The following is a 27,823-nucleotide window of genomic DNA, read 5'->3' on the forward strand; positions in this document are numbered from 1 at the left end:
GACGCAGCCCCTGACCAACCTCGCCAAGCCCGGGCGCCGAGCCAGGACGTTGAGCCAAGTCCCCATCTCCTAGGACTCGCAGTGCGGAGGCTGCGGGCCCCGACCAGCGCCGAGACTACAAGTCCCAGAAGGGCGCGCGGCGACATCGCCGGGCCCGCCCCCCGCGCACGCGCGGCGCCGTGACGCTAAGGCCGCGAGCGAGCGCGGGTGGCTGCGGCGGCTGCGGCCGGCGGGGCGGGGCGGGGCCACCTGGCAGTGGCTGCCTTTAGGGCGGAGCCGGCTCCCGCTCTCCTCAGTCTGCGGTGGGCTAGCGGACGGTCCGGCTTCCGGCGGCCGTTTCTGTCTCTTGCTGGCTGTCTCGCTGAGTCGCGGCCGCCTTCTCATCGCTCCTGGAAGGTCCCGAGCGCGACACCATGTCGGAGCCCGGGGGCGGCGGCGGCGAGGACGGCTCGGCCGGATTGGAAGTGTCGGCCGTGCAGAATGTGGCGGACGTGTCGGTGCTGCAGAAGCACCTGCGCAAGCTGGTGCCGCTGCTGCTGGAGGACGGCGGCGAGGCGCCGGCCGCGCTGGAGGCGGCGCTGGAGGAGAAGAGCGCCCTGGAGCAGATGCGCAAGTTCCTTTCGGACCCGCAGGTCCACACGGTGCTGGTGGAGCGCTCCACGCTCAAAGGTGCGGGGCCGCGGAGGGCAGGGTCGCCAGAGCCAGGCCTCGCGGAATGCAGGGCCTGCCAGGTCCTCCGGGGTCGCAGATGTCCCCGGGATGGGAGGAGCCCGGCAGCTGCAGATGACCCCTGGATGGGCAGAGCCCGGCGGCCGCAGACGTCCCGCCGGCCGGGTCCCCAGGGCCGCAGACGCCCCGCAGAGGCCGGCGCGGCGCCCGGGGCTCGCCCTCGCCACACCCACTGCCCGGCCCGGAGCCCCCAGGGCGCCCCGCTCCTGGTCGCGGGGAGGGGAAAGGGGTCCCCGTCTGCCGTCACCCAAAACAATGGGGTCGCTTTGTCTGCTCGGGCCTCTCAAGATGGCCGAGTTGGGTGGAGACAGCGTCTCCCTGGGCTGAGAGCGGGCGAGGCCGCATCCCTGCCTCCAGTGTCACATGAGCTTTTCGGTTTCGATTTGTGTCCAAGCCAAGTGGCCTTCGGGAGGGATGTGTCGGGGGCAGACCCGCGGAGCTGGGGGCAGCCGGGGTTCTGGTTCGGGAGGAGGTCGGGCGGGTGTCCCAGCCCTGCCTTGTGGGGACCCAGAGGCCGAGGCCCACAGAGCGACGGTGCCAGCCCCGGGCCTGCGAGCATCACTGTTGTAGGTGGATGCTCTCACAGCATCCTTGCTGAACGGGTGTATCCTGATTTTACACCTGAGGAAACTGAGGCTCAGGTTAAGTGATTTCACCCAAGGTCACCAGCTAATCTTAGTCCTGAGACTAGACTCAGTGTCTCAGCTCCCCATCCACTGCTTGTTTTCACTGATCATACCTCATATTTGTTTAATGCTTCGATGATGTTAATGATAACCCTGTAATATTTGAGTCTAATTTTACAGATTAAAAAAAAAAAAAAAGATTCAGGTTAGGCACCTAGTAGGGGGAAGAGGCTAGAGTTAGCGTGTTCCAGCTGTCTCCTCAAATAATGATCGCCCACCAGCAAGGTTACATTCATCTAAGTCTGGGGCTTGCCTGCAGGCAGGCTTTCTCATGGATTCATTACAACCACTTTGTAGCCCATTACAACCACTTTGGGTGTGGCGTGTCCATCTAAGAACCTAAGGATGATGTCCAAGGTTAGCCTCTAGGGATTGGAGATTGTCTAAAAATATTTGCCAACAAGCTTCTTAAAATTTCAAAAAACTGTATGGTTCTCTCAGTGAGAGACCCTGTACTGTCTGCCCCATCCTTAACACACACTGTGTTTCTGATGGTTTGTTTCTTTCAAAGGCTATTCTTACTCAGAAGATGCTTCCCTGTAGCCTTGGTTTCCTGCCAGAGATTAGCAGGGTGTAAAAGAATATTTTTTTCTTATATCCACGTGGAATGTTCAAGGCAAATAAACCATTTGAGCATATTTAGAGTATTAATGTTTTTGAGGGTTGTTTACTGTGATGTTTGGGATTATGTATTCCTAAGTGGAAGCCACAAAAGTTAAAAAAAAAAAATTTATCTACTCTTTTTTTTTTCCAAAAAACATATAGTCATTGTAGAAAATGTACTATACAGCTAAAGTAAAAATCACTGGGAATTGTTTGACCCAGATATAATCACTGTCAGCATTTTTGGTTTATGTCTTTGTGGTCATTTTTCAATGCATATTCGTCATTTTATTAAAATACATTTTAATCTGCATTTTTAAAGTTAATTGTATTTTGAGTAGCTTGACCATTGCTAATCCTTGATATTTTTATTGCATAGTTTATGTATTAGAATCAGTGATTTTATTTTTTTTACCTTGTGTCACTCTTTTTATGAAAAAAAATTTAAGTTTTATACTTTGCTTCTAGAGTGATCACCAGTAATTCGCTTTTTCCAGGCATCTTAAAATTGGACGTTGCTAAAATTATTGGGGTGGGGGGACTATGTTTATGTAGTACAATATCTACTACAAATTCTCTCTGTTGTCTTATGAGTACCTTTTTTTCTTTCAGCAAAACAAATATGCAGGTATCCAAATCTTGGCTCCATAATGACTTGCACTTTTGAAAGTTGACTAAGGAATGAGACTATCTAAAATTGAAATCCTACCTCATTTCTGTATTTATAACAATCCTTGAAGTATTTCTACCAATTCAACCTGTCTATAATTTATTTTTCACTTACAAAAACCTAAGGAAAGATTTTTAAATTAATCCAGTTTTATGATAGATGGTCTGTTTGTCTTATTAGCAGCCTGGCTACACTAGGACACCTTAGATATAAGTAGAGACCCAGGACTTTTGGTAGGAGGGCTTTCTTCTTGGTGGCTTTTATGAGTTAGCTTTGGCATTTGTACATTTAATCAAATATGTGCATCCAGTAGTTAATTACAGTGAAAAGATAGGCATGCATTAATGTAGACAACAGAGCTGAATTATTTAAACTGAATAAAGATCACCAACAATGAAGTCATGTAATTTAATGAACAGTAGAAATTACTTTTATTTATTTTATTCCTTCCACTTTTTTTGTGGAAGTATCCAAACACTTGTAATTGAATATAGAAACATTTTTATGTGAAACTATATATATTTTTTATTTGTTTGTTTGTTTTAGCTACCCCAGCTAGCCATAAACTTTTGTTGTTAAAGTGCAGCATTGAGCTGGGTGCGGTGGCTCACACCTGTAATCCCAGCACTTTGGGAGACCAAGGCAGGAGGATCACTTGAGGCCAGGAGTTCAAGACCAGCCTGGGCAACATAGCAAGACCCTATCTCTACAGAAAATTAAAAAATAAGCCAGGCATGGTGGTGTATGCCAGTAGTTCCAGCTACTTGAGAAAATTGCTTGAGCCCAGGAGTTTGACGCTGTGGTGAACTAGGATCACACCACTTTGCTCCAGCCTGGGTACAGAGTGAGACCCTATCTCTAAAATAAATCAAGTACAGCATTACTCAAAGTATAGAATAAATGTTGTGAATTTAACAACTCATCTTGATACTGAGGAATTGGAGAGTTTGTGGGAAAAAGGGATTAAGTTATAGCTCCTCATTTTAAAAAGAGAAACCTTTGTATAGTTCCTGGCCTGTAGGAAATTGTCTTCCTCATAGTATGCTTACAGCATGGTGACAAAATAGGTGCTCATTACTTAACTAGCCATTTTATGTTAATGACGTTTTTGTAGCATTTTTTACTTCAAGGACCATTTTTTGGTTGTGTATCTCCGTTCGGTGGGGTATGCTTCAGTTTGCAGCTGATGGAACTGACATTTCCATGACTTGTCTGCTCTGCAGCTTGTTCATGACCTGCCTGGGATTGGCTGCTAGGTTGGTTGGTCTGGATGAGAGCGTGTAGTTTGGGTTTTTTGTTTGTTTTTGGTGGGGAAAGGGTTTTGTTTTGTTTTGTTTTGTTTGAGACAGGGTCTCAACTGTGTCACCCAGGCAGGAGTGCAGTGGCCCAGTCATGGCTCATTGCCACCTCGGCCTCCTGGGCTCCCAGTTCATTTTCTCATTTTTTTAATAGAGAGGAGGTCTCACCATGTTGCCCAGGCTGGTCTGGGACTTCAGGGCTCAAGCAATACTTCCACCTCCGCCTGCCAAAGTGCTGGGATTACAGGTGTGAGCTACCACACCCCACGTGTTTGTTTGTTTAACACTCCAGTGTTTGAGACTTGGAATTTTTTTTTTGAGACAGGGTCTCACTGTTGTCCAGGTTGGAGTGCAGTGGCACAATCTCTGCTCACCGCATCCTCAACCTCCGGTCTCAAGCGATCCACCCATCTCAGCCTCCTGAGTAGCTGGGATTACAGGCACACACCACCACGCCTGGCTCATTGTTGTATTTTTTGTAGAGGCAGGGTCTCCCCATGTTGCCCAGGCTGGTCTTGAACTCTTGGACACAAGTGATCCTGCTACCTCAGCCTCCCAAAGTGCCAGGATTACAGGCGTGCGCCATGACATCCAGCCTGAGGATTTAATTCTAAAGGATGAAGAAATGTAGTTTAATCAATGTAATTAATCTCCAACACAACATATCACCATGATTTCGTGCATTTAGAGGAGAAATGTTTTCTGGTTAAGTGGAAAATTGTACTATTGGCTTCTGCAAGACCTTCTTTCTTTCTTTTTTTCTTTTTTTTTGAGACAGAGTCTCGCCCTGTCTCCCAGGCTGGAGTGCAGTGGCACGATCTCAGCTCACTGAAAGCTCCGCCTCCCGGGTTCACGCCATTCTCCTGCCTGAGCCTCCCAAGTAGCTGGGACTACAGGCGCCTGCCACCACACCTGGTTAATTTTTTTTTTTTTTTTTAGTAGAGACGGGGTTTCACCGTGTTAGCCAGGATGATCTCGATCTCCTGACCTCGTGATCCACCCGCCTTGGCCTCCCAAAGTGCTGCGATTACAGGCGTGAGCCACCGTGCCTGGCCAAGACCTTCTTTCTAAAGCAGCTTTATAGTGAAACATTTTATTTAGAAATCTGGACCTTCTTTCTTCAGTTTACTGTAATCCACATTCACTGAGTAGAATTTGTATTGATCCCTGTGACCTAGTTTCTTCTAGGGCACCCAGTTATTCTTTCTGTCCCTAGTAAAATCTGGATTGAACTGTGCCAGATGCAGGCCGTACAGTGTTGCTCCAGTACCTCCAGCTCCAGCAGACACAAAGAGGGAGATCAGACTCAGATGCTTCTTGGCCTGACGGAAGATCTGGCAGCGCGTGTTTGTACCAGGGGCCTCCAGTTCAAAAGGAGAAAACAAACCTAGCTACCAGGCTCTGCACTCAGTGGTATCCGCACTTCAGCGAGGCTGTTAACTGCCCCATGCTGTCACACTGTGGGACACACCATCTGCAGCAAGATAAATTTGAATGTGCAGTGTAGCATAGTAAACGAAATTTATGTACAGCAAAGGGAAAACAGTTATCACTTCTTTTTAAAAACTAAACATGGATGAAAATTGCGTGTCAGCATCGGAGCATGTCAGATTGGGAGCAGCAAGAGAGATTTAGCCCAGCCCTCATCTTTCATGAATGAGGAAACCAAAACCCTAGGATTTTAAGACCCAGTTGGGAAAAGGATGTTCTAAGGAGGGTTCTGAAACCTAAAAACTCATCTCTGCAGTGCCTTGGTATCTGTTATTTATTTTGAGTTAGTAGTAACTTGAAAAGTACCAAGTCTTAAGTTCCTTTAGTGTTAATAACTTAGTAGATTTTTAAAAATTCTTTCTCTTTTCTTTTCGGGAAATACCAAAATGAGCTCCAGTTTACGTTAAATATAAGTATTATATGGGGTTTCATGCTCTCTTCATATTCCTAATGATGTTACAATGGAAATCTTCAGGTGGAGGAGAATACTCCGACTTTCTCACCGTGTTCTGAGCCTTGTACCAGAGCAGGGAGTGGTTGTGGGAAAGAAGTCATGGCCCCTCAGGAGGATGAAAGGGTGGACATGCAGGTGACAAGAGAAAGCGCCAGAGACAAGAAAGGGGAAAACTAAAGCGGGAAAAAAAGGGAGGCCGTGTATAATAGTGATTGACCACCAGAATAATAATAATGTGGTATTAGTATGTTTGGTTTGTTGTTGTTTTTTTTTTTTTTTTTTTTTTTTTTTGAGATGGCGTCTTGCTCTGTCACCCAGGCTGGAGTGCAGTGGCACGATCTCCGCTCACTGCAACCCCCGCCTCCTGGGTTCAAGTGATTCTCCTGTCTCAGCCTCCTAAGTAGCTGGGATTACAGGCATGTGCCACCACGTCTAGCTAATTTTTGTATTTTTAGTAGAGATGGGGTTTCACCATGTTGGCCAGGCTGGTCTCAAACTCCTGACCTCAGGTGATCCGCCCGCCTCAGCCTCCCAAAGTGCTGGGACTGCAGGCGTGAGCCACTGTGCCCAGCCCATGTTTGGGATTTTAAAAGGGAAAGAAGACAAAAGATAAAGAGAACCCCAGGAACATTTAACACGTAATTTGGTAGTGTATGCGGGCCAAAGGAGATGAATGGCTTTGAGACCAGGAAGAGACTTGCTGTATGGCTGGGAGAAAGTTTGGAAGGAAGAGTACATGAGGGAATGAGCAAGGGTGCAGGAGTTGGGCAGCCTCACCTGGCACTTTACCAGTGTGCTTTGTCCCTTTTCCAACTGCCCGTTCACCAGACTTTGAGAGGGCATGCCCTGTCTACTCAGGAGAGGGCCGTATCATTCTTTTTTTTTTTTTTTTTTTTTTTTTTTTTTGAGGCAGGGTCTTGCTCTGTCGCCCAGGCTGGAGTGCAGCGCTGCAGTCTCAGCTCACTGCAGCCTCGGTCTCCTGGGCTCAAGAGATCCTCCCGCCACAGACATGCACCACCACGCTCTGCTAATTTTTGTATTTTTTGTAGAGATTGGGTTTCACCATCTTGCCCAGACTGGTCTCAAACTCCTGAGCTCGAGTGATCCACCCACCTTGGCCCCTCAAAGTACTGGGATTACAGGCATGAGCCACTGGGCCCAGTCGAGGGTGGTATAGTTTTTAAGGTAATTGAAATTGCATAGTTTTTGTATTCCATTAAACAAGCCATAATGCTGGCTGGGTGCAGTGGCTCACGCCTGTAATCCCAACACTTTGGGAGGCTGAGGCAGGCAGATCACTTGAGCTCAGGAGTTCAAGACCAGCCTGGGCAACATGGAGAAACCTTGTCTCTACAAAAATACAAAAGTTAGCCAGGCATGGTGATGCACAACTGTATCCCAGCTACTCAGGAGGCTGAGGTAGGAGAATCACTTGAGCCCAGAGAGGTCAAGGCTGCAATGAGCTGTGATTGCACCACTGCACTCCAGCCTGGGTGACAGAGTGAGATCCTGTCTCAAAAAAAATAAAACAGATGTAATGCTTACCTAATTCATAGTTTAATGATACAAATTACTAGTAGTTTGAAATACATTAAACTAGTCTTTGAATAAAAGTATACACACGTTAGTGCTAAATGCCATTTTGAACATCTCTAGAAATTCAATAAACTCTCAAAAGTTAACCAAGGAAGTGTTCACAAGTTGTTGTAATGTGTGTCAGTATAGCTTGCAGGGAAGGAACTCATGAAGCAGGCCCAGTACTTTGATTCTTTGAATGCATGGACATATAGTACAGTATTGGTCTGTTACATTTTAACAGTAACTTTGTATTAACTAGTAACTTTGCCAAGCATAAGGAAATGGATTCAAATTTTACTGAAAGTGGTATTACTTAATCAAACGTGCAGATTGTGTTTGTAGTAAGCTTATAAATATAACAGGGCTAATAGCCTCTTTGTTATTAAGAATTAATAATCAAGTGTCCTTCCTCCTCTGGACAACTATTTAAAAAAAAAAAAAAGAAAGAAAAGTAGAATGTCAGATTATTATTTGATGGCAGTTTTTGAAACAGTGTCCTAAATTGTGTGACTGTAAATGGGAGTCAGACATACTCAACTGTGTTTGATCCGTGTCTTTATAGGGAATATGCACAGAAAGACTAGTCCAAGATGTTTTCTGTGACTGGTTCGTAGTGACTTCCATAAGTTATTATCAAGAGAAGTTAGAATTTAGCAAAGCAGCAGGGAATATCTATTTGCATTATCGTTGTTTGAGGATTATGTCATTGGGTGTGCCTTCCTGAGCTGAAGCAGCATTCTACTGCATTGCAGTATTCCCAGGGCAGAGCTGGAGCGCTCACCACACAGCGGTGACTCATCTCTTGGAATGGCACCTAGTTCCCCTAACCCGGTTTGCATTAGGAAGTGTAGGCCACATGCTCATATGCTGTGTCCGGACTGCGCAATTTCTGTGTGATTTTATTTGTATCAATGATGACTCTTTATGGGGGGTAGAAATGATTCAGAGTTAACAAGCCATATTTTTAGTTGCGTCAGTGATTTCCTTTGATCATTATAGAATGTTAATTTTATTTTCTGTATATTGTTTCGGTGTTATTTTGATGGCATATTTTATATAAATGGTAGAACAATATGGAAAATTCAGAAAATTGAGGGAGAAAATCATCGCAGTACTTTGACAGCTGTTTCAGTTTGGAGATAGTTCTTTATTCTCTATGCTTACATTTTACAGGTTGTAATCGTGTGTGGCTGCTTTCAGGCAGTGTGATTTCTCTTGTGGTCTAGCTACATTTGAGTGGTTAGAAAAATTGGTTGCTTTCTTTAGTTTTTTTAATAGTCGTTTTAAAAAATAGCAAGTATCTGGCATACTAGAATGTTCTGCCGCCTACTCCTTCCTCTTCCTAAAATTATATCCAAATATACCCAAAACAATAATTTGGAAGAATTATTGTCTCTCGATAGATACACTAATTTTTTTTTTTTTTTTGAGATCAATCTCAGCTCACTGCAACCTCCACCTCCCAGGTTGAAGCAATTCTCTTACCCCAACCTCCCAAATAACTGAAATTACAGGTGCCAACCACCACACCCAGCTAATTTTTTTAATTTTTAGTAGGTATAGGGTTTCACCATGTTGGCCAGGCTGGTATTGAACTCCTGACTTGAAGTGATCTGCCCGCCTCGGCCTCCCAAAGTGCTGAGATTACAGGCATGAGCCACCGCGCCTGGCCAGATAGACTAATATTTTATACTCTTTAGTGTGAATTTTGTATTTGTCTCATCTTAAAACTAAGGAAGCAGGGGTTGGGCGCAATGACTCATGCCTGTAGTGCCAGGCCGAGGCATGAGGATCTCTTGAGCCCCAGGAGTTTGACACCAGCCTGAGCAACATAGAGAGACCCCATCTCTAAAAAATGTTTTAAAAATCCACTGAAGGTGGTGGCATGAGCGTGGGGTCCCAGCTCTTTGGGAGGCTGAGGCAGGAGGATCTCTTGAACCCAGAAGATCAAGACTACAGTGAGGTGTGATGAAGCCACTGCGTTCCAGCCTGGGCGGCAGAGCAAGACATTGTCTCTAAATAAATAAATTAATTAATTAAAATAAAATGCTTACAGAAGGAGCAAGATTTTTAAAACAATAGCTAAGGAAGCAAATAGCTTTTGCTCAGACCCTGTGTATCCAGGTTTCATAGTTTTTAGTGCTTAATGAAACCTTATAACCACCTAACTCAATATTCTACTGCCTGCTCCACCACCCATTTTACACCTTACAAATTTGAAGCCCAGAGAAAGAAAAATGACTTTCTCAAGGTCACATATCTTCTAAGCAATAGAACTTGAACTGTTGAAACTACTGCCCTTTCCTTTATTTATTTATTTATTTTTTTTGAGATGGAGTTTCACTCTTGTTGCCCAGGCTGGAGTGCAATGGCGTGATCTCAACTCACCACAACCTCCGCCTCCTGGGTTCAAGCGATTCGCCTGCCTCAGCTTCCCGAGTAGCTGGAATTACAGGCATGCGCCACCATGCCTGGCTAATTTTGTATTTTTAGCAGAGACGGGGTTTCTCCTTGTTTGTCAGGCTGGTCTCGAACTCTCTACCTCAGGTGATCCACCTGCCTTGGCCTCCCAAAGTGCTGGGATTGCAGGCATGCGCCATCACGCCCAGCCTTCCCTTTCTATTACATCATGACTTTTAAAAGGTGAACTATGTATAAAATAATCATGTTAAATTAATCCATAGATTGTAATTTTTGCCAACATATATTTCATACAGTACGTTATTGCAAAGATAATTTGACTAGAATGTTTAGGCATTGCATGGATTAGTACTAGATGTAGAGGTTTAGATTATTTTCTATTCTTATACTTTTTTTAGTTCTTCAATCTTGATTTTTAATTTAGAAATTTGGTTCACATGCTTCTTGAGGCTACCTTACTATTAATTTCCAGTAAGCTTTTTTAAACTTAAATTTTATTATTAAAAAATTGAGACATGGTTTCACCATGTTGCCCAGACTAGTCTCATACTCCTGAGCTGAAGTGGTCCACACCTCAGCCTCCCAAAGTGCTGGGATTACTGACGTAAGCCACCAGCCCGGCCTCCGTAAGCTTTTGAAAGTGACTACTGTGTGCATGTTGTATTGCGTGGAATCTAGCGTGGTCTCTGCCTTCCAAGAGCTCACAGCCGGGGAGGAAGATACATTCATAAGTCAAACCCAGAACAGACTCAGATAAGTGGTGTGGCGCAGCAGAGGGCAAGGCTAGACGAATGCTTCTCAGTGACCCTTGGGATGTTTCTTGATACTTTTCTTGATTGGGGTTTGTCTTGGGCCTGGCCTTGATGAAAACTGGCCATGCTACATTGTGGTGAGGAGCCTGGACTTCGGAATCACAAACTTCTGAATTCTCACATTGTTGCTTCCCACCCAAGTATCTGTGGGCAAGTTACTGATATTCTTTATGGAGAAAACAAGGATAATAATAGTCACACCAACCCCATAGGGTTAAATGTATGATAGCTGTAAAGTGCTTAGTAAAATGCCTATCACACAGGTGTTGCTGAGTGAACGGCTGAGCAGAATATTCTTGAGAGCAGGGGTGGAAAGTGACTTCTGTGTTTGAAGCACAATGAATGAGCTTCCTGGGATGGGATGCTGAGAACTTGGCCATAGCCAGCAGCGGCTAGCACTGCCCACCGCCAGGCCCTGTTCCAGTGCTTTCATGCACCAACTCAGTTATCCTTGCAGAAGCCCTGGCATGCTCACGCTACCCCACTTCACAGACAACCGCCTTGCCCAAAGTCACACAGCAAAGTCAGGAGTGAGGAAAAAAACGGATAGGAAGGGAAAAATAGTGCCAAGTCATGTAGGTGTCGATATGTCAGGCTGGGAGTAGGGAGAAAATAGTCATTGTCTAAGCAGTTGATAAATAAGAAATTGGAAATGTTGATATTAATTTGATATATTTATTATGATTTGTAGAGGACGTCGGTGATGAAGGAGAAGAAGAAAAAGAATTCATTTCCTATAACATCAACATAGACATTCATTATGGGGTTAAATCCAATAGGTGAGTAGTACAAATATTACCATTATCTCAGGTTATAAATTTGTGAGAATTAATATGAATCTTTTTTCTTTTCAAACTCAGAAATTCTTACTAAGAGAATTAATATAAATCTTTTTTTTTTTTTTGAGACGGAGTTTCGCTCTTGTTGCCCAGGCTGGAGTACAATGGCGCGATCTCGGCTCACTGCACCCTCTGCCTCCCGGGTTCAAGCAATTCTCCTGCCTCAGCCTTCCAGGTAGCTGGGATTGCAGACATGCACCGCCACGCCTGGCTAATTCTGTATTTTTAGTAGAGACAGGGTTTCTCCGTGTTGGTCAGGCTGGTCTCGAACTCCTGACCTCAGGAGATCCACCCGCCTCAGCCTCCCAAAGTGCTAGGATTACAGACGTGAGCCACCGTGCCCAGCCTAAAATTAATATCAATCTTAATTGACTCAGACAAACACATTAAGAAAACACTCAAGCCCGGCACGGTGGCTCACGCCTGTAATCCCAGCACTTTGGGAGGCTGAGGTGGGCAGATCACGTGAAGTTGGGAGTTTGAGACCACCCTGACCAACATGGAGAAACCCTGTCTCTACTAAAAATACAAAATTAGCCAGGCGTGGTGGTGCATGCCTGTAATCCCAGCTACTTGGGAGGCTGAGGCAGTTGAATAGCTTGAACCCGGGAGGCAGAGGTTGCAGTGAGCCGAGATTGTGCCATTGCACTCCAGCCTTGGCAACAAGAGCGAAACTCTGTCTCAAAAAAGAAAAAAAAAAAAGGAAAAGAAAACGCTCAAAAGATTTCTGGTCTTTAAATTCAGTGTCTTTGATTTCATGTCTTCAAATTAGGAAGTTTTCCAATTCAATATAAATTCTAAAATACTGTCCTTTTAGTTGCCATATCATGGCATCTATCTTCTGTTTGAGCTGTAATATATGTAACATGTCTGATGCTACTCTCAGGTTACAGTCAGCCCTCGATATCTGTGGTTCCACATCTGCAGATTCAACCAACCACAGATAGAAAATATTTGCGGGAAAAAAGCAATACATACAATACAAAAATAACAAAGAAAGCAAGTAAAAAACAGCCAGTATAACAACTATTTATGTATTGTTTATGTTGTGTTAGGGATTATAAGTAATCTGGAGATTATTTAAAGTATGCTGGAGGATGTGCATAGGTTATATGCAAATACTGTGCCATTTTATATAAGCAAGTTAACGTTTGCGGATTTTGGTGTTCCAGGGGAGTCCTGGAATCAATTTCCCACAGATACCAAGGGACAACTGGATATCTGATTTTTCATTATTACAGATAACTAGTAAACATTCTATATGCAGGTTTGATTCTTTTTAGGATAAATTCTAAAGATAGCATTACTAGTTCACATGCAAAACATCATTAAAATTTTTAATGCATGTTACCAGATTTTCCACTTTTCAGAAAGATTGTGCTAATTTATCCTAGTAGACATATCCAAATTTAAATATGTAAATGTCATAATGGATTCCGCATTTTTTTAAGCTTATTTTGAGTAATCTCAGGTTACGGAAGAGTTGCGTGAATAGTATATAGAACTCCCAGATATCAGTTGTTAATGTTTGCCACTTTTGCATTATCATTTTTCCCCTGAATCATTTGACAGTTAGTTATAGACAATATGCTCCTTTATCCCTAAATACTTGTGTGTATTTCCTAAGAACAAGGACATTCTCATTCGTAGCCTCAGTACAATGATCAAATTCAAGAAGTGTAAGATTGCTGCAGTATTGTTCTCTAATTATAGTACATGTTGAAATTGTCTCAATGATGTCCCTTATACTAATTTTCCCCTAATTCAGAGTCCAGTCCAGAATCACACTTTGGTTTCTTGTCACTCTAAATTCCTTTAATCTGGAGTAGTACTTCAGCCTTTGTGTACCTTTTGTGACACTGACTTGTTTGACATTTGCACACCAATAGCTTCATGGAACTGTTGGGTTTGCCTGATGTTTAGATTCAGGTTATACGATTTTGGCAGAAATACTATTGTGACTTCATTCTTTCTCAATGTGTTACATCAGAAAGTTTCATTGACTTTACAGTTATATGAAGTTTTTTGGGTTGTTTGTTTATTTTGAGATGGAGTCTCACTCTGCCGTCCAAGCTGGAGTGCAGTGGGGCAATCTTAGCTCACTGCAGCCTCTGCCTCCCAGGCTCAAGCGATCCTCCTGCCTCAGCCTCCTGAATAGTTGGGATTACAGGCACCTGCCACCACACCTGGCTAATTTTTTTTTCTTTCTTCTTGAGACGAAGTCTCGCTCTGTCGCCCAGTCTGGAGTGCAGTGGTGCGATCTCGGCTCACTGCAACCTCTGCCTCCTGGACTCAAGTGATTCTCCATCAACCTCCCGAGTAGCTGTGATTACAGGCATGTGCCACCATGCCCAGCTAATTCTTGTATTTTTAGTAGAGATGGGGTTTTGAAGTTTTTGAATAACTTTTTGAAGTTATCCGCCTGCCTCGGCCTCCCAAAGTGCTGGGATTGCAGGTGTGAGCTACTGTGCCCGGCCTAATTTTTGTATCTTTAGTAGAGATGTGGTTTCGCCATGTTGGCCAGGCTGGTCTCGAACTCCTGACCTCAAGGGATCTACTCACCTTAGCCTCCCAAAGTACTGGGATTACAGGCGTGAACCACCATGCCTGGCGTATGAAGTATTGTGTATAAAGTACTGGCAAGGGAATTAGAAAATTCAAATTTTATTAATTACCTTGAAGGCATTAATTTAACCAACTTTGAGTGCCTGTTGTGTGCAAGGTGTGGCAGTAGGTATATAGAGTAGTACACAAAGAAATAAAACCTGCTTCCTGTTCCCAAGAAGCTTGTCTTTGGGAGAAAGATTGGCAGATACATAACTAATTGTAATACTTGTCAAAATACAATGGAAACATGAAGACTGGAGAGATTGCTTCTGATTAGGGGAAGCCCACAGAAGAGGTCACACTGGAATTGAGTTATGAGGGTTAGAATTTCAGCAGATCAATATAGATTTCTTAAGCAAAGGCACAAAGCACGTGATGTGTTTAGGGAATGGGACATCTGGTCTAAGTGGTGTCTCAGGGTGGGAAAGAGGATACATAGCAGGAGGTGAAACAGGAAAAGCTGAGTAGGACCAGACTAAGGGGAGCCTGGAATGGCCTCTTATCACCTTAACCAGTGAGCAACTTTTGTTTACTTAGTACAGTAAATAAATGTTACACATTAGTGTAAGATCAGATTTAAGTACTACTTATATTTCTAGGGCAGGTTAGTTTTAGGCCAATATTACGAATTCAACCCATGTATGAGACAAGTTAACTTTGCCTGGTTTCATGTTTGTTCACATTCTGTAACCATAACCTTGATTCAGTAGCTCTCATGTACTAAAGAAAGACAAGCAGTGCATTTCACTATTAGAAAAGCAACACTTCAGTATATTCTTGTATGATTTTTAAATTAATAAGCCTAATTAGGAGTGTAACTTTTCTAATTTCTTGTTTTATTTTTCTTTTTAGCTTGGCATTCATTAAACGTACTCCCGTGATTGATGCAGATAAACCCGTGTCTTCTCAGCTCCGGGTCCTTACACTCAGTGAAGACTCGCCCTACGAAACTTTGCATTCTTTCATTAGCAATGCAGTGGCTCCTTTTTTTAAGTCCTACATTAGAGAGTCTGGCAAGGCAGACAGGTAAAAACTGTGGTTTGAATGTTATATTTCACTTAATGTTCACAAGATAGTATAGAACTCGGTGTAAAACTTGGGAATTGGGAGGGTAACGCTAGTGAGCCGAGGGGATATAAACCCTGTGTATTAATAAATATGTGTGTCATTACTATTTGACAGACCTGAAATGATGGGATCTCTTTGGAGACCAATAGCACACTAAATGTTGAGGTATGAAATCTGTTTTTAGGGATGGTGATAAAATGGCTCCTTCAGTTGAAAAGAAGATTGCAGAACTCGAAATGGGACTCCTTCACTTGCAGCAAAATATTGAAATTCCGGAGATCAGCCTGCCGATTCATCCAATGATCACAAATGTTGCAAAACAGTGTTATGAGCGTGGAGAAAAGCCAAAAGTTACAGACTTTGGTGATAAGGTTGAAGACCCAACATTTCTTAATCAGTTACAATCTGGAGTTAACCGCTGGATCCGAGAAATTCAAAAAGTAAGAGCACAGGATTGAAAGTTATGTAAAATATGTTACTCTTTAATATCTTTGGGAAAACTGATCTGGATTTTGTAAGTGAGGTAAATTATGTGATAACTTGTTAGTGGTGCCGCCTCTTGGTCCTGGGACTGTCCAGTGCAGGACTAGCCTTGGTCTGGGTGGAATGGTCAGGGGACAGTGTGAGATTGCTTGAGTAGTCACCCTGATAGAGCATTAATCTCAGCAGTCGTATACCTTTGATTTCAAATCAAGCCACTTTTGATTTACAGGGAAGGAAATCTACTTGAAATATAAAAATTGAGTTGTAATGCATGTGTTTTGTTAACGATATCTATTCTACCTTGTTTAAATAGTGAATACCCTTGGGTGTTATTTTATTTTCAAAGGTGACCAAACTGGATCGAGATCCTGCATCAGGAACTGCCTTACAGGAAATTAGTTTTTGGCTAAACTTGGAACGTGCGTTATACCGCATCCAGGAGAAACGGGAGAGCCCGGAAGTTCTCCTGACTCTGGATATCTTGAAACATGGCAAGCGCTTCCATGCCACCGTCAGTTTTGACACTGACACAGGTAACAACTAGAACTAATAATCTGATCAGTAAGTTATTGATCTGGCTTTTACGAGATCTTACTTGATAATTTAAATGAAAACTATAGTTTTCACAGATGTACTGTCGTTTTTAACCATTTCCTTTCTTACATCACATCTTATCTTTCCCTCAGTTCCAAGTAATGAAAATTATTCTCCTACACACTTAGCTTTCCCCTTTCCCTTCAGGGGATTTAAGAACATGAAACAGTCTCTAGGTATGAGCACAGATTCCTTCTTGTTTCCCCACTGCTGGGCTCCATGAGTCATCTCCACGAGTCGGCTGTACAATTGGCACAAAGTCAGGTATGCTTTTGACAGGCCAGGCAAGAAGGTGGTTTAAGTGAAGCAGTTCTATTTGCCCAGAGGGTTGTGGAAAAAGAACTGGTCAGTACCACTTTCTCTTCCTCTTTTTACTTGCCCCTTTCTCTTCTTTGTCTTCCTCCCTATTCTGACAAGTGGCCAAAATGAATTTAGTTTTCTGAGTGGAGAACAGTGCCAGTGATGTTGTTTTTTGTTTTGTTTTGTTTTGTTTTTTTCTTTTTAAAATTTTTAAAATTTATTTTTTTTAAGAGATGGGATCTCACTTTGTTTCCCAGGCTGGAATGTGGTGGCATAATCATAGCTCACTGCTGCCTGGAGTTCCCAGGCTCAAGCCATCCTCTCACCTCAGCCACCCAAGTAGCTGGGACTACAGGGATGTACCACCATGTCCAACTAATTTTTGAATTTTTGTAGAAATGGGGACTTGCCACGTTGCCCATGCTGGTATCAAACTCCTAGTCTCAAGCAATCCTCCTGCCTTGGCCTCCCAAAGTGCTAGGATTACAGGTGTGAGCTACCACTCACAGTCATTATTACAATTATTTTTAAATTCTTTTAAAAACTTTGTAACTTGACTGAGCTGCATTAGCACGTACTAGGTCTACAATGTTTGAACACGAGGCATTATTAGGCATTTCTGTTCAACTCTGTGCTCACAAAAGACATGTTAGAACAAGTAATTAAGACAATAGCAGTTGTCATGTTCTCACTTCCCCCAAAAAACGTATGGTACCCACATCTTAAATGTTAGAGAAAATTGTAAGTAGAAACCTTCCGGTTACTTAGATCACATTGCACACATTACATGCGCATTCACTATGCTGAAATGTATACTTTGATTTTTTTAACACCTCTGAAACTTTTGTTTTTTTCCTAATACTTTTTTTGATCTTATGCCAAAGAAAGTCAATAAATAGATTAGGATCCAAGCACTTTCGTGATTCCATGTCCTTAGTTAGTAATATGTTCACCTAAATTAAGCCATGAATGTAAAACTTAAATTTTAATGTTTTCAAGGATAAAATTTTAGTTCTTCTAAACTTAATTGTTACTAATAAACGTTAAAATAATATAGAACAGGGGTCCCCAACCCCCAGACTGGTACTGGTCCGCGGCCTGTTGGGAACCAGGCTGTGCAGAAGGAGGCCAGCAGCGGCGAGTGAGCATTACTGCCTGAGCTCTGCCCCCGTCACATGAGTGGCGGCATTAGATTCTCATAGGGGCGCAAACCCTGTTGTGAACTGCGCACGCGAGGGATGTAGATTGTGCACTCCTTATGAGAATCTAATGCCTGATGATCTGTCCACCATCTCCCATTACATCACCCTCAGATGGGACCTCCTAGTTGCAGGAAAACAAGCTCAGGGCTCCCACAGATTCTACATTATGGTGAGTATGTAATAATAATAATAGAAATAGGCTGGGTGCGGTGGCTCACACCTGTAATCCTAGCACTTTGGGAGGCCTAGGCGGGCAGATCACGAGGTCAGGAGATGGAGACCATCCTGGCTAACATGGTGAAACCCCGTGTTTGTAAAAATACAAAAAATTAGCCGGGCGTGGTGGCAGGCGCCTGTAGTCCCAGCTGCTTGGGAGGCTGAGGCAGGAGAATCGCTTGAACCTGGGAGGTGGAGGTTGCAGTGAGCCGAGATCACCCCACTGCACTCCAGCTTGGGCGACAGAGCAAAACTCCGTCTCAAAAAAATAAAATAATAGAAATAAAGTGCACAATAAATGTAATGTGCTCGAATCACCTAGAAACTACCCACCCCCCCACCACCCCCCAACCATCTGTGGAAAAATCGTCTTCCACGAAACTGGTCCCTGTTGCCAAAAATGTTGAGGGCCACTGATATAGAAAGCAAAGCAAAGCATGGTAAATTCTCTGAGGCTGCCACCTTCAGCCTTTAGAGTATGTAGGAATTGACTCATACTCTTAAATAAGCAAAAATGGAGCGCCACTAGGGTTATCCTGTTAATAACGTGTTGTTTTTTCAAATATGAATAGTTTTTGTCTCGCTAGATATTTTGCAACATCAAAATGTTCCATTGTAATGGCATATTTTAGTTTACTTAGTTTTGTTACTTTATGTGAAAACCATTAACTCTTTCTCTGTTAATATAGGTCTAAAACAGGCTTTGGAAACTGTGAATGACTACAATCCTCTGATGAAAGATTTCCCTCTGAATGATTTGCTGTCTGCCACGGAGCTGGACAAAATAAGACAGGCGCTTGTTGCCATTTTCACACATTTGAGAAAGATCCGAAACACAAAATATCCTATTCAGAGGGCACTGCGTTTGGTGGAGGCAATTTCAAGAGACTTGAGTTCTCAATTACTCAAAGTATTGGGCACTAGGAAATTGATGCATGTTGCTTATGAAGAATTTGAAAAAGTAAGTTTGAATATATAAGACAACCAACCTCAAGACATTGAGATGAAAATATGTCTTAATAATAAGCCTCACTTTTGAAATTATATCCTAGGTTATGGTAGCATGCTTTGAAGTTTTTCAGACTTGGGATGATGAGTATGAGAAACTTCAGGTATTGTTGAGAGACATCGTCAAAAGAAAAAGGGAAGAAAATCTGAAGATGGTGTGGCGTATCAACCCTGCCCACAGGAAGCTGCAGGCCCGCCTTGACCAGATGAGAAAATTTAGACGCCAGCATGAACAGCTAAGAGCTGTTATCGTCAGGGTCCTGAGGCCACAGGTAAGATTTGCATTCTAAAAGTTTGTGTTTTGTTTTTGTTTTTGTTTTGTTTTTTGTTTGGTGTTTTTTTTTTGTTGTTGTTGTTGAGATGAAGTTTCACTCTTGTTGCCCAGGCTGGAGTGCAATGGCATGATCTTGGCTCACTGCAACCTCCGCCTTCTGGGTTCAAGCGATTCTCCTGCCTCAGCCTCTCGAGTAGCTGGGATTACAGGTGCCTGCCACCACGCCCGGCTAATTGTTTATATTTTGAGTAGAGACAGGCTTTTACCATGTTGGCCAGGCTGGTTTTGAACTGGCCTTCAAGTGTTCCACCTGCCTCGGCCTCCCAAAGTGCCGGGATTATAGACGTGAGACAGCATGCCCAGCCTGTTTTTGTTTGAGACAGTCTCATTCTGTTACCTAGGCTGGAGTACAGTGAAGTGATCTTGGCTCACTGCAGCCTTCGCCTCCCGGGCTCAAGCAGTCCTCCTACCTCAGCTTCCTGAGTAGCTGGGACTATAGGCGCACCCCACCATGCCCAGCTAATTTATTTGTGTGTGTGTGTGTTGGCGGGAGGGGGCTGTAGAGGAGGGGTCTCACCATGTTGCCCAGGCTATTCTCGAACTCCTGAGCTCAAATGATCCGCCCACCTCAGCCTCCCAAAGTGCTGGGATTATAGGCATGAGCCACCGCGCCCTGCCCGTATGCATTGTTTTAATGTGTTTTTTGAAAACTTAACTACTTCTTTCTGTTGTCTTTAAGATCTAGTGATTCTGTATTGTGTGTGTGTGTGTATATATATATGCGTATATATGTGTGTGTGTGTGTGTGTGTGTGTGTGTGTATATATATATATATTATATTTTTTTTTTTTTTTTTTTTTTGAGACTGAGTCTCAGTCTGTCACCCAGGCTGGAGTGCAGTGGCATGATCTCAGGTCACTGCAACCTCTGCCTCTGGGGTTCAAGCAATTCTGCCTCAGCCTCCGAGTAGCCGGAATTACAGGCGCCAGCCACCACACCCAGCTAATTTTTGTATTTTTAGTAGAAATAGGGATTCACCGGCCGGGCGCGGTGGCTCACGCCTGTAATCCCAGCACTTTGGGATGCCGAGGCAGGCGGATCACGAGGTCAGAAGATTGAGACTATCCTGGCTAACACGGTGAAACCCCATCTCTACTGAAAATACAAAAAAATTAGCTGGGCGTGGTGGCAGGTGCCTGTAGTCCCAGCTACTCGGGAGGCTGAGGCAGGAGAATGGCGTGAACCCAGGAGACGGAGCTTGCAGTGAGCCGAGATCGCGCCACTGCATTCCAGCCTGGGCAACAGAGGGAGGCTCCGTCTCAAAAAAAAAAAAAAAAAAAAAAAAAGGAAAAGAAATAGGGTTTCACCATGTTGGCCAGGCTGGTCTCGAGCTCCTGACCGCAAGTGATCCACCCGCCCCGGCCTCCCGAAGTGCTGGGATTACCATGCCCAGCCCATCCAAATCTTTAGTGTTTTCCATCCATTTATCCCTTCCTCCATCTTGGAAGGACCCTAGAGCCAGACTTCCTGGGTTTTAAATCCTAATTCCATCGTTTACTAGCTCTGTGACTGGAATGCTTTATTTAGTCTCTTTTTCAGAGAGTCCTTCTCTGTAAAACATGGATAGTAATTACATATGCCTGAGATTTATAAAACAATTAAATGACTAATTTCTTTATATATATTTTTTTCTCTTCTGAATTTATCTTTCATTCTTCTTTTTTGTTTTTTGAGATGGAGTCTTGCTGTGTCGCCCAGGCTGGAGTGCAGTGGCGTGATCTTGGCTCACTGCAACCTCTGCCTCCCGGGTTCAAGCGATTCTCCTGTCTCAACTTCCCAAGTAGCTGGGAATACAGGCATGCACCACCATGCCTGGCAAATTGTTTGTATTTTTAGTAGAGACTGGGTTTCACCATGTTGGCCAGGCTGGTCTCGAACTCCTGACCTCATGATCCGCCTGCCTTGGCCTCCCAAAGTGCTGGGATTACAGGTGTGAGCCACTGCACCCGGCTTAAAATAAATTTTAAAGCCTTCGTTTGGTCAGCATTTCTTGATTACATATCTTTCTCCTTTAGGTCACGGCAGTTGCACAACAGAATCAAGGAGAGGTCCCTGAACCCCAAGATATGAAAGTGGCTGAGGTTCTCTTTGATGCTGCAGATGCAAATGCCATTGAGGAAGTAAACCTTGCTTATGAGAACGTCAAGGAAGTGGATGGACTGGATGTTTCCAAAGAGGGCACGGAAGCCTGGGAGGCTGCTATGAAGAGGTACGATGAGAGGATCGACAGAGTGGAGACCCGGATCACCGCTCGCCTTCGGGATCAGCTTGGCACAGCCAAGAATGCCAACGAGATGTTTAGGATTTTCTCCAGGTTTAATGCACTGTTTGTCAGGCCTCACATCCGTGGGGCCATTCGCGAATACCAGACCCAGCTGATCCAGCGCGTGAAAGATGACATTGAGTCTCTTCACGACAAGTTCAAGGTCCAGTACCCACAGAGTCAGGCTTGTAAGATGAGTCACGTTCGTGACTTGCCCCCTGTGTCAGGGTCTATCATCTGGGCTAAACAGATCGACAGGCAGCTGACGGCCTACATGAAGCGGGTGGAAGATGTCCTTGGCAAGGGCTGGGAGAATCACGTGGAGGGGCAGAAGCTGAAGCAGGATGGAGACAGCTTCCGCATGAAGCTCAACACGCAGGAGATCTTTGATGACTGGGCAAGGAAGGTGCAGCAGCGCAACCTCGGTGTCTCGGGGCGCATTTTCACCATCGAAAGTACTCGGGTTCGGGGCCGAACTGGAAATGTGCTTAAGCTGAAAGTTAACTTTCTTCCTGAGATTATCACACTATCCAAAGAAGTCCGGAACCTCAAATGGCTTGGTTTCCGCGTCCCACTGGCGATTGTGAACAAAGCCCATCAAGCAAACCAGCTTTACCCGTTTGCCATCTCACTGATCGAGAGCGTTCGTACCTATGAACGGACCTGCGAGAAGGTGGAGGAGCGGAACACCATTTCCCTTTTGGTGGCTGGCTTGAAAAAGGAAGTGCAGGCCCTGATCGCAGAAGGCATTGCGTTGGTGTGGGAGTCCTACAAACTTGACCCATATGTACAGCGCTTAGCAGAGACTGTCTTCAACTTCCAAGAAAAGGTATGCTCTCATGTAATCCTCAGGTGTCCTGGTAACGAATGAAGCACAGTAATAGCGAGCTCAGTTAAAACACTAGTTCTCCCGAAGAAGGCATGCATGGTTGATGCAGCATACGGCCATGTGAGCTGCAAGGGAGGAGGACCCTTTGTACTCACCGGGCTATTTAATGGTGCTGGGTTTTAGGGAGGCCATTAAGTAACAACCTGAGTTTAGAAACAGGTGGAGAGCTAAAGGACACAGGAGTCCAACAGAGAGCAGAATGCAGTTTTATTGCTGCTACAGCTGAAAGCAGAGCAGGCTCTAGGTCTCAGCCACGAAGGCCTTACCCAGAGCCTGCGGCTGCCAGCGGACCAGATGCATACGACAGCGAGGCTGGCTCCCCAGGCACAGGAGGAGCTTAACAGAGCACGTTTACTTCCTTCTCCCAGATTTACCCATCAGAGGCCACCTCTCCCATTGAGTGGGAGTAAGGGAAGAGAAGCTGGGGAGGCTCCATGCATTTTCCTTTCCTCTGCAAGGACATGCGAGTGGGGATTAGTGTTCTCACCCCAGCAGCTAGGATTAGCTACTTATGGAAGAACTGTGCCTGGAGCATTTGTCAATGTATAATATTTGAGAAGAATGTTATGTGAGAATAAAGGAACAGAGTGTGAGTGGGTGTTTTAAATATTAAATATTTCTTCCTTCAGGTGGATGATCTGCTGATCATTGAAGAAAAAATAGACCTAGAAGTCCGTTCCTTGGAAACTTGTATGTATGACCATAAGACATTCTCGGAAATCTTGAACAGAGTCCAGAAAGCAGTGGATGACTTAAATCTGCACTCCTATTCCAATTTGCCCATCTGGGTCAACAAGCTTGACATGGAGGTAAGGGATAGAATTTGCTAGCATTTTCCTCCTTTTTCTTCTGCTGACCCTCCAGTAAGCTTATTAGTTTGTCACTAAAAAGCATTTTTCCTTGGAAATTATCTGTGATAGTTCAATTCCCCTCCAAAATCTCATTTAACTAGTGATAGAACTGAATTGTGGCCAGGCACAGTGGCTCATCATGCCTGTAATCCCAGCATTTTGAGAGGCCGAGGCAGGCAGATCGCTTGAGCCCAGAAGTTTGAGACCAGCCTGGGCAACATGGCAAGACCCTGTCTCTACTATAAATACAAAAACTAGCCAGGTGTGCTGATGAGCACCTGTAGTCCCAGCTACTCAGGAAACTGAGGCGGGAGGATCACTTGAGCCCAGGAGGCGGAGGTTGCAATGAGCCAACATCGCACCACTGCACTCTAGCAGAGTGAGACCCTGTCACACACACACACACAAAAAGAACCAAATTATGATACTACATGTCAGTACTCACATCAAGTTTAAGTTGGAAGCAGGGAGATAAGAGGGAGGAGAAAGTGTTGCCTTTATTTGCTGGATATTTGATAACTTCCTATTTGTCCTTCCTTGCTTTCCTTATGATTCGTGTTACCTTTTCTAGCCCTCCAGGTGTCCTCCTCTGATGACCCTGCCACTCCCCAACACCCAATTTAGAAACAGCCACATTCTGCCCCCACCCGTATCCCCGTAGACAAGTGGGGATGGGTAGAAGGTGTGGTATGTGTGCATAAAGCACACTTACCAATCCACGCCTTTTCCCACTGGTGGACTTCAGAGAGCACACCAGTGGAGAGTGTTGGGGAGGAGGATATTTTATAGCAGAGGTTACAGGTTGTGAAGGATTGGTGATTCAGTATCCAAAGATGGAGAAGACAGCCTAACAAGTGATCTGTGGCTGGGAGAAAGTGAGAAAGTGAGATTCTGAGAAGAGAGATATGAAGGCTTCTAGTCCGGAACTGTGTATCTTTTATCTGAAACACCTACCACTTTCTGATTGACTTGCTTTGTGAGCTAACTTTTAGAAGAAACACTGTTCTCTGATATAACGTTGTCTGTAGATTGAAAGAATATTGGGCGTCCGTCTGCAAGCTGGCCTGAGAGCTTGGACGCAGGTTCTTCTTGGACAAGCTGAAGATAAAGCAGAAGTTGACATGGACACAGATGCTCCACAAGTTAGTCACAAGCCTGGTGGAGAGCCAAAGATCAAAGTGAGTGCTTCTGTGGCATTCTATTTACTAATAAGTGAAATAACAAAACTCTCTCGTTAAAAAACACCTATGGAAAGGTCACTTAGTGTGGACACCTGGCAGATGCCACCTTAACCAGGTGATGAAGGTCAGCCTCACCAGTGGCGATGTGCAGGTGTCATGTGCCCTCTGATGTGATGCGATGGGAAGGGCAGGTCACCTCTGCGCTCTTTCTCCAAAATCCCTCACTCTCATGTGAGATGTTAACATTGGAGAAAGCTGGTGGAGGATATGTGGAAACTCCTTGTACTTCCTTTGAAACTCTCCTGTAAATCTAAAATAATTATTTTAAGTCCTAAAAAATGAAAAATTAAATTTTAGGAAAAAAACTACACTGGAAAAAAACTTCTTACCATTCATGCAATAAATTATTTCAAGAACTGCATGTAATCCACCAGAAGTCAGTGTTCAGACCATGACATTGAAACGTACTCCACTGTTTTAACAAAGGTCTCAGTTCACATCCCCGGGAAGAAGGTGGCAACACAGTGGCCACCACACGGAGTAGTAGTCTGTGCCTCCCGAGCCATCTCTTTCGCATTTGTGTGGAGCTTAGCAAGCTTTCTAAACAACTGAATAATTCTGTCAACTAGCACTGTGTAAGTAGGCCCTATCTGCTGCTATTGGTGGTGGTTACAAAGGAATCCACCTTACAGTAAGTGTTTATAGTATTTGTGTTATATTTACCAATAAAAAGGACTCACAAAACAGTAAAAACCTTGATCTGGGAGAAACAGTTGGCTTTTTTCCCCTACCTACACTTTACCTTTTTATTTTTTTCCCTTACACTTGAAAAATGTTTTCACTGTTGAATATTTCTGTTTCCACCTTTGAATATTACTATTATTGGATATTCATCCCCAGAGCATACTTTTTAAAATACCAAGTCCCAGAGAAGCAAATGAGTGTTTCTAAATTGATACAATTACAGTCATGCACTGCAAAATGACATTTCAGTCAACGACAAGACCACATATACAATTGTGGTCCCGACGATTACAATACCATATTTTTACTGTACCTTTTCTATGCCGACATATGTTTAAATACACAAATACTTACCATTGTGTTCCAGTTGCCTACAGTATTCAGTACAGTAACATGCTGTACAGATTTGTAGCCTGGGAGCAATCGGCCATGCCACATAGCCTAGGTGGGCAGCGGGCTGTCATCTAGACTTGTGTAGGTACATGCTGTGGAGTTTGCACAGTGATAGAATCGCCTCACCGTGATTCTCAGAACGTATCCCTGTTGTTAAGCAACACATGACTATCTAGTGGAGACGAAGTTGGAATTCTTGTTGAGTGTAAAGCACTGGCAGGTGGCACAGACTTACCTGACCTTGGTCAACCTAAATCATTGCCTGACAACTGATAACCTGAGTGGTATCACTGCTTCAGTGGTGCTAGTTTCTCGGGTCTCAAGGTCGTTATATTGAGACATCGTCATATACTTAGGCCAAACCAGATGAAAGTTCATTGAGTACCTGTTGTGTGTTCAATCCCTGGGCACCAGGGACCCAGGAGAAGGTGAAGCAGCACCTGCTGTCTGACTTATGTTCTTTTGGGGAAGGCACAAATGACAAACATGACATTATACAAGACCATGTCTGATAATCAAGTGACAGACATTGTAGTTCAGACTGAAGTAGTTTAGTAATTTAGAGAGAGAAAGTGTTGAGTATCAAAACTATTTTATTGAGGCCAGACGCAGTGGCTTACCCCTGTAATCCCAGCACTTTGGGAGGCCAAGGTGGGCAGATCGCTTGAGCTCTGAAGTTTGAGACCAGCCTGGGCAACATGACGAAACCCCATCTCTATAAAAAGTACAAAAATTAGGCCGGGCGCGGTGGCTCATGCCTGTAATCCCAGCACTTTGAGAGGCCGAGGCAGGCAGATCACGAGGTCAAGAGATAGAGACCATCCTGTCCAACATGGTGAAACCCCATCTCTACTAAAAATACAAAAATTAGCTGGGCGTGGTGATACATGCCTGTAGTCCCAGCTACTCGGGAGGCTGAGACAGGAGAATCGCTTGAACTCGGGAGGTGGAGATTGCAGTGAGCGGAGATGGCATCACTGCACTCCAGCCTGGCGACAGAGTGAGACTCCGTCTCAAAAAAAAAAAAAAAAAATACAAAAATTAACTGGGCATGATGGTGCACGCCTGTGGTCCCGGCTACTTGAGGGGCTGAGGCGGGAGGATTGCCTGAGCCCAGAATGTCAAGTGAGCCATGTCGCCATCGCACTCCAGCCTGGGTGACAGAGTGAGACCCTATCTCAAAAAAACAAAAAGCAAAGGACTTGGCATGGTGGCTCACACCTGTAATCCCAGCACTTTGGGAGGCTGAAGCGGGTGGATCACCTGAGGTCAGGAGTTTGAGACCAACCTGACCAACATGCTGAAACCCGTCTCTACTAAAAATATATAATTAGCTGGGCTTGCTGGCGCATGCCCGTAATCCCAGCTACTTGGGAGGCTTAGAATTGCTTGAACCCGGGAGGCGGAGGTTACAGTGAGCCAAGGTTGTGCCATTACACTGCAGCCTGGGCAGTAAGAGTGAAACTCTGTCTTAAAAAAATTTTTTTTATTGAAAAATAGATTGCTGAGTAGAAATGAAACCTTTCTTTCACAGAATGTCGTTCATGAGCTAAGAATAACCAATCAGGTAATCTACTTGAATCCACCAATTGAAGAGTGCAGATACAAGCTGTATCAGGAAATGTTTGCCTGGAAGATGGTTGTACTGTCTCTCCCCAGGATCCAGAGTCAGAGGTACCAGGTAAGCCTTTGGTGACTCGAGGCACACGCCTCTGACCAGGACTCTCATGGGCTCTGTGATACCACTTCTTCATGGTGCTTCTTTAGATAAGCTCTTGATGTTGTTTACAAACTCCAGACATCCCAGGGGAAAGTTAGGGAGGCTTTTTGTGCCCTGACCTTTTTTTCCAACTAGTTACTTGGCATTTGTAGCTTGGTCTCAGTAGTTTCTTCGAACTCCTGTCCATGAGCATCTTTGGGAATCTCAATTCCTGCTTCTCCCTCTCCTCCCCACCCCCCACTTTTTATTAGGGGAATTTTAAAACATACACAAAAGTTGAGGGAATCAAGAGCCCCCCACCACACAGCTTTATCAATATGTGGACAATGTTATTTATATTTTCTTTCCTACCTCTCCACCCCCACCAGATTATCTTGAAGCAAATCTCA

The 27,823-nt window shown here is 44.3% G+C and overlaps 1 protein-coding gene across 1 annotated transcript in view, besides 7 other annotated features; it reads left to right on the top strand.

Moving 5' to 3' along the window:
* Positions 32-642: an enhancer, noted in NCBI's record as "NANOG-H3K27ac-H3K4me1 hESC enhancer chr14:102430647-102431257 (GRCh37/hg19 assembly coordinates)". NCBI's record gives its function as "activates a minimal SCP1, AML or CMV promoter by ChIP-STARR-seq in naive H9 embryonic stem cells {active_cell/tissue: H9 hESC(naive)}" and the evidence as "EXISTENCE:reporter gene assay evidence [ECO:0000049][PMID:30033119]".
* Positions 128-287: a silencer, noted in NCBI's record as "silent region_6105". NCBI's record gives its function as "represses an Ori minimal core promoter by ATAC-STARR-seq in GM12878 lymphoblastoid cells {active_cell/tissue: GM12878}" and the evidence as "EXISTENCE:reporter gene assay evidence [ECO:0000049][PMID:35858748]".
* The window catches only part of DYNC1H1 (dynein cytoplasmic 1 heavy chain 1), a 91,871-nt gene continuing 64,342 nt past the window's right edge, over positions 295-27,823 (top strand). The window contains exons 1-11 of the mRNA NM_001376.5: positions 295-669; positions 11,434-11,521; positions 15,041-15,214; positions 15,441-15,696; positions 16,086-16,272; positions 18,741-19,012; positions 19,104-19,331; positions 21,409-22,485; positions 23,175-23,354; positions 24,425-24,574; positions 27,249-27,395. Of these exons, the coding sequence (NP_001367.2) occupies positions 414-669; positions 11,434-11,521; positions 15,041-15,214; positions 15,441-15,696; positions 16,086-16,272; positions 18,741-19,012; positions 19,104-19,331; positions 21,409-22,485; positions 23,175-23,354; positions 24,425-24,574; positions 27,249-27,395 (3,015 nt within the window). The 5' untranslated portion in view covers positions 295-413. The remainder of the gene's footprint in view (positions 670-11,433; positions 11,522-15,040; positions 15,215-15,440; positions 15,697-16,085; positions 16,273-18,740; positions 19,013-19,103; positions 19,332-21,408; positions 22,486-23,174; positions 23,355-24,424; positions 24,575-27,248; positions 27,396-27,823) is intronic.
* Positions 643-1,252: an enhancer, noted in NCBI's record as "NANOG-H3K27ac-H3K4me1 hESC enhancer chr14:102431258-102431867 (GRCh37/hg19 assembly coordinates)". NCBI's record gives its function as "activates a minimal SCP1, AML or CMV promoter by ChIP-STARR-seq in naive H9 embryonic stem cells {active_cell/tissue: H9 hESC(naive)}" and the evidence as "EXISTENCE:reporter gene assay evidence [ECO:0000049][PMID:30033119]".
* Positions 778-987: a silencer, noted in NCBI's record as "silent region_6106". NCBI's record gives its function as "represses an Ori minimal core promoter by ATAC-STARR-seq in GM12878 lymphoblastoid cells {active_cell/tissue: GM12878}" and the evidence as "EXISTENCE:reporter gene assay evidence [ECO:0000049][PMID:35858748]".
* Positions 6,337-6,837: an enhancer, noted in NCBI's record as "H3K4me1 hESC enhancer chr14:102436952-102437452 (GRCh37/hg19 assembly coordinates)". NCBI's record gives its function as "activates a minimal SCP1, AML or CMV promoter by ChIP-STARR-seq in naive H9 embryonic stem cells {active_cell/tissue: H9 hESC(naive)}" and the evidence as "EXISTENCE:reporter gene assay evidence [ECO:0000049][PMID:30033119]".
* Positions 16,782-16,831: an enhancer, noted in NCBI's record as "active region_9062". NCBI's record gives its function as "activates an Ori minimal core promoter by ATAC-STARR-seq in GM12878 lymphoblastoid cells {active_cell/tissue: GM12878}" and the evidence as "EXISTENCE:reporter gene assay evidence [ECO:0000049][PMID:35858748]".
* Positions 27,268-27,337: an enhancer, noted in NCBI's record as "active region_9063". NCBI's record gives its function as "activates an Ori minimal core promoter by ATAC-STARR-seq in GM12878 lymphoblastoid cells {active_cell/tissue: GM12878}" and the evidence as "EXISTENCE:reporter gene assay evidence [ECO:0000049][PMID:35858748]".

The sequence above is a fragment of the Homo sapiens genome, chromosome 14, assembly GCF_000001405.40.
Source record: "Homo sapiens chromosome 14, GRCh38.p14 Primary Assembly".
NCBI classification, from domain to species: domain Eukaryota; kingdom Metazoa; phylum Chordata; class Mammalia; order Primates; family Hominidae; genus Homo; species Homo sapiens.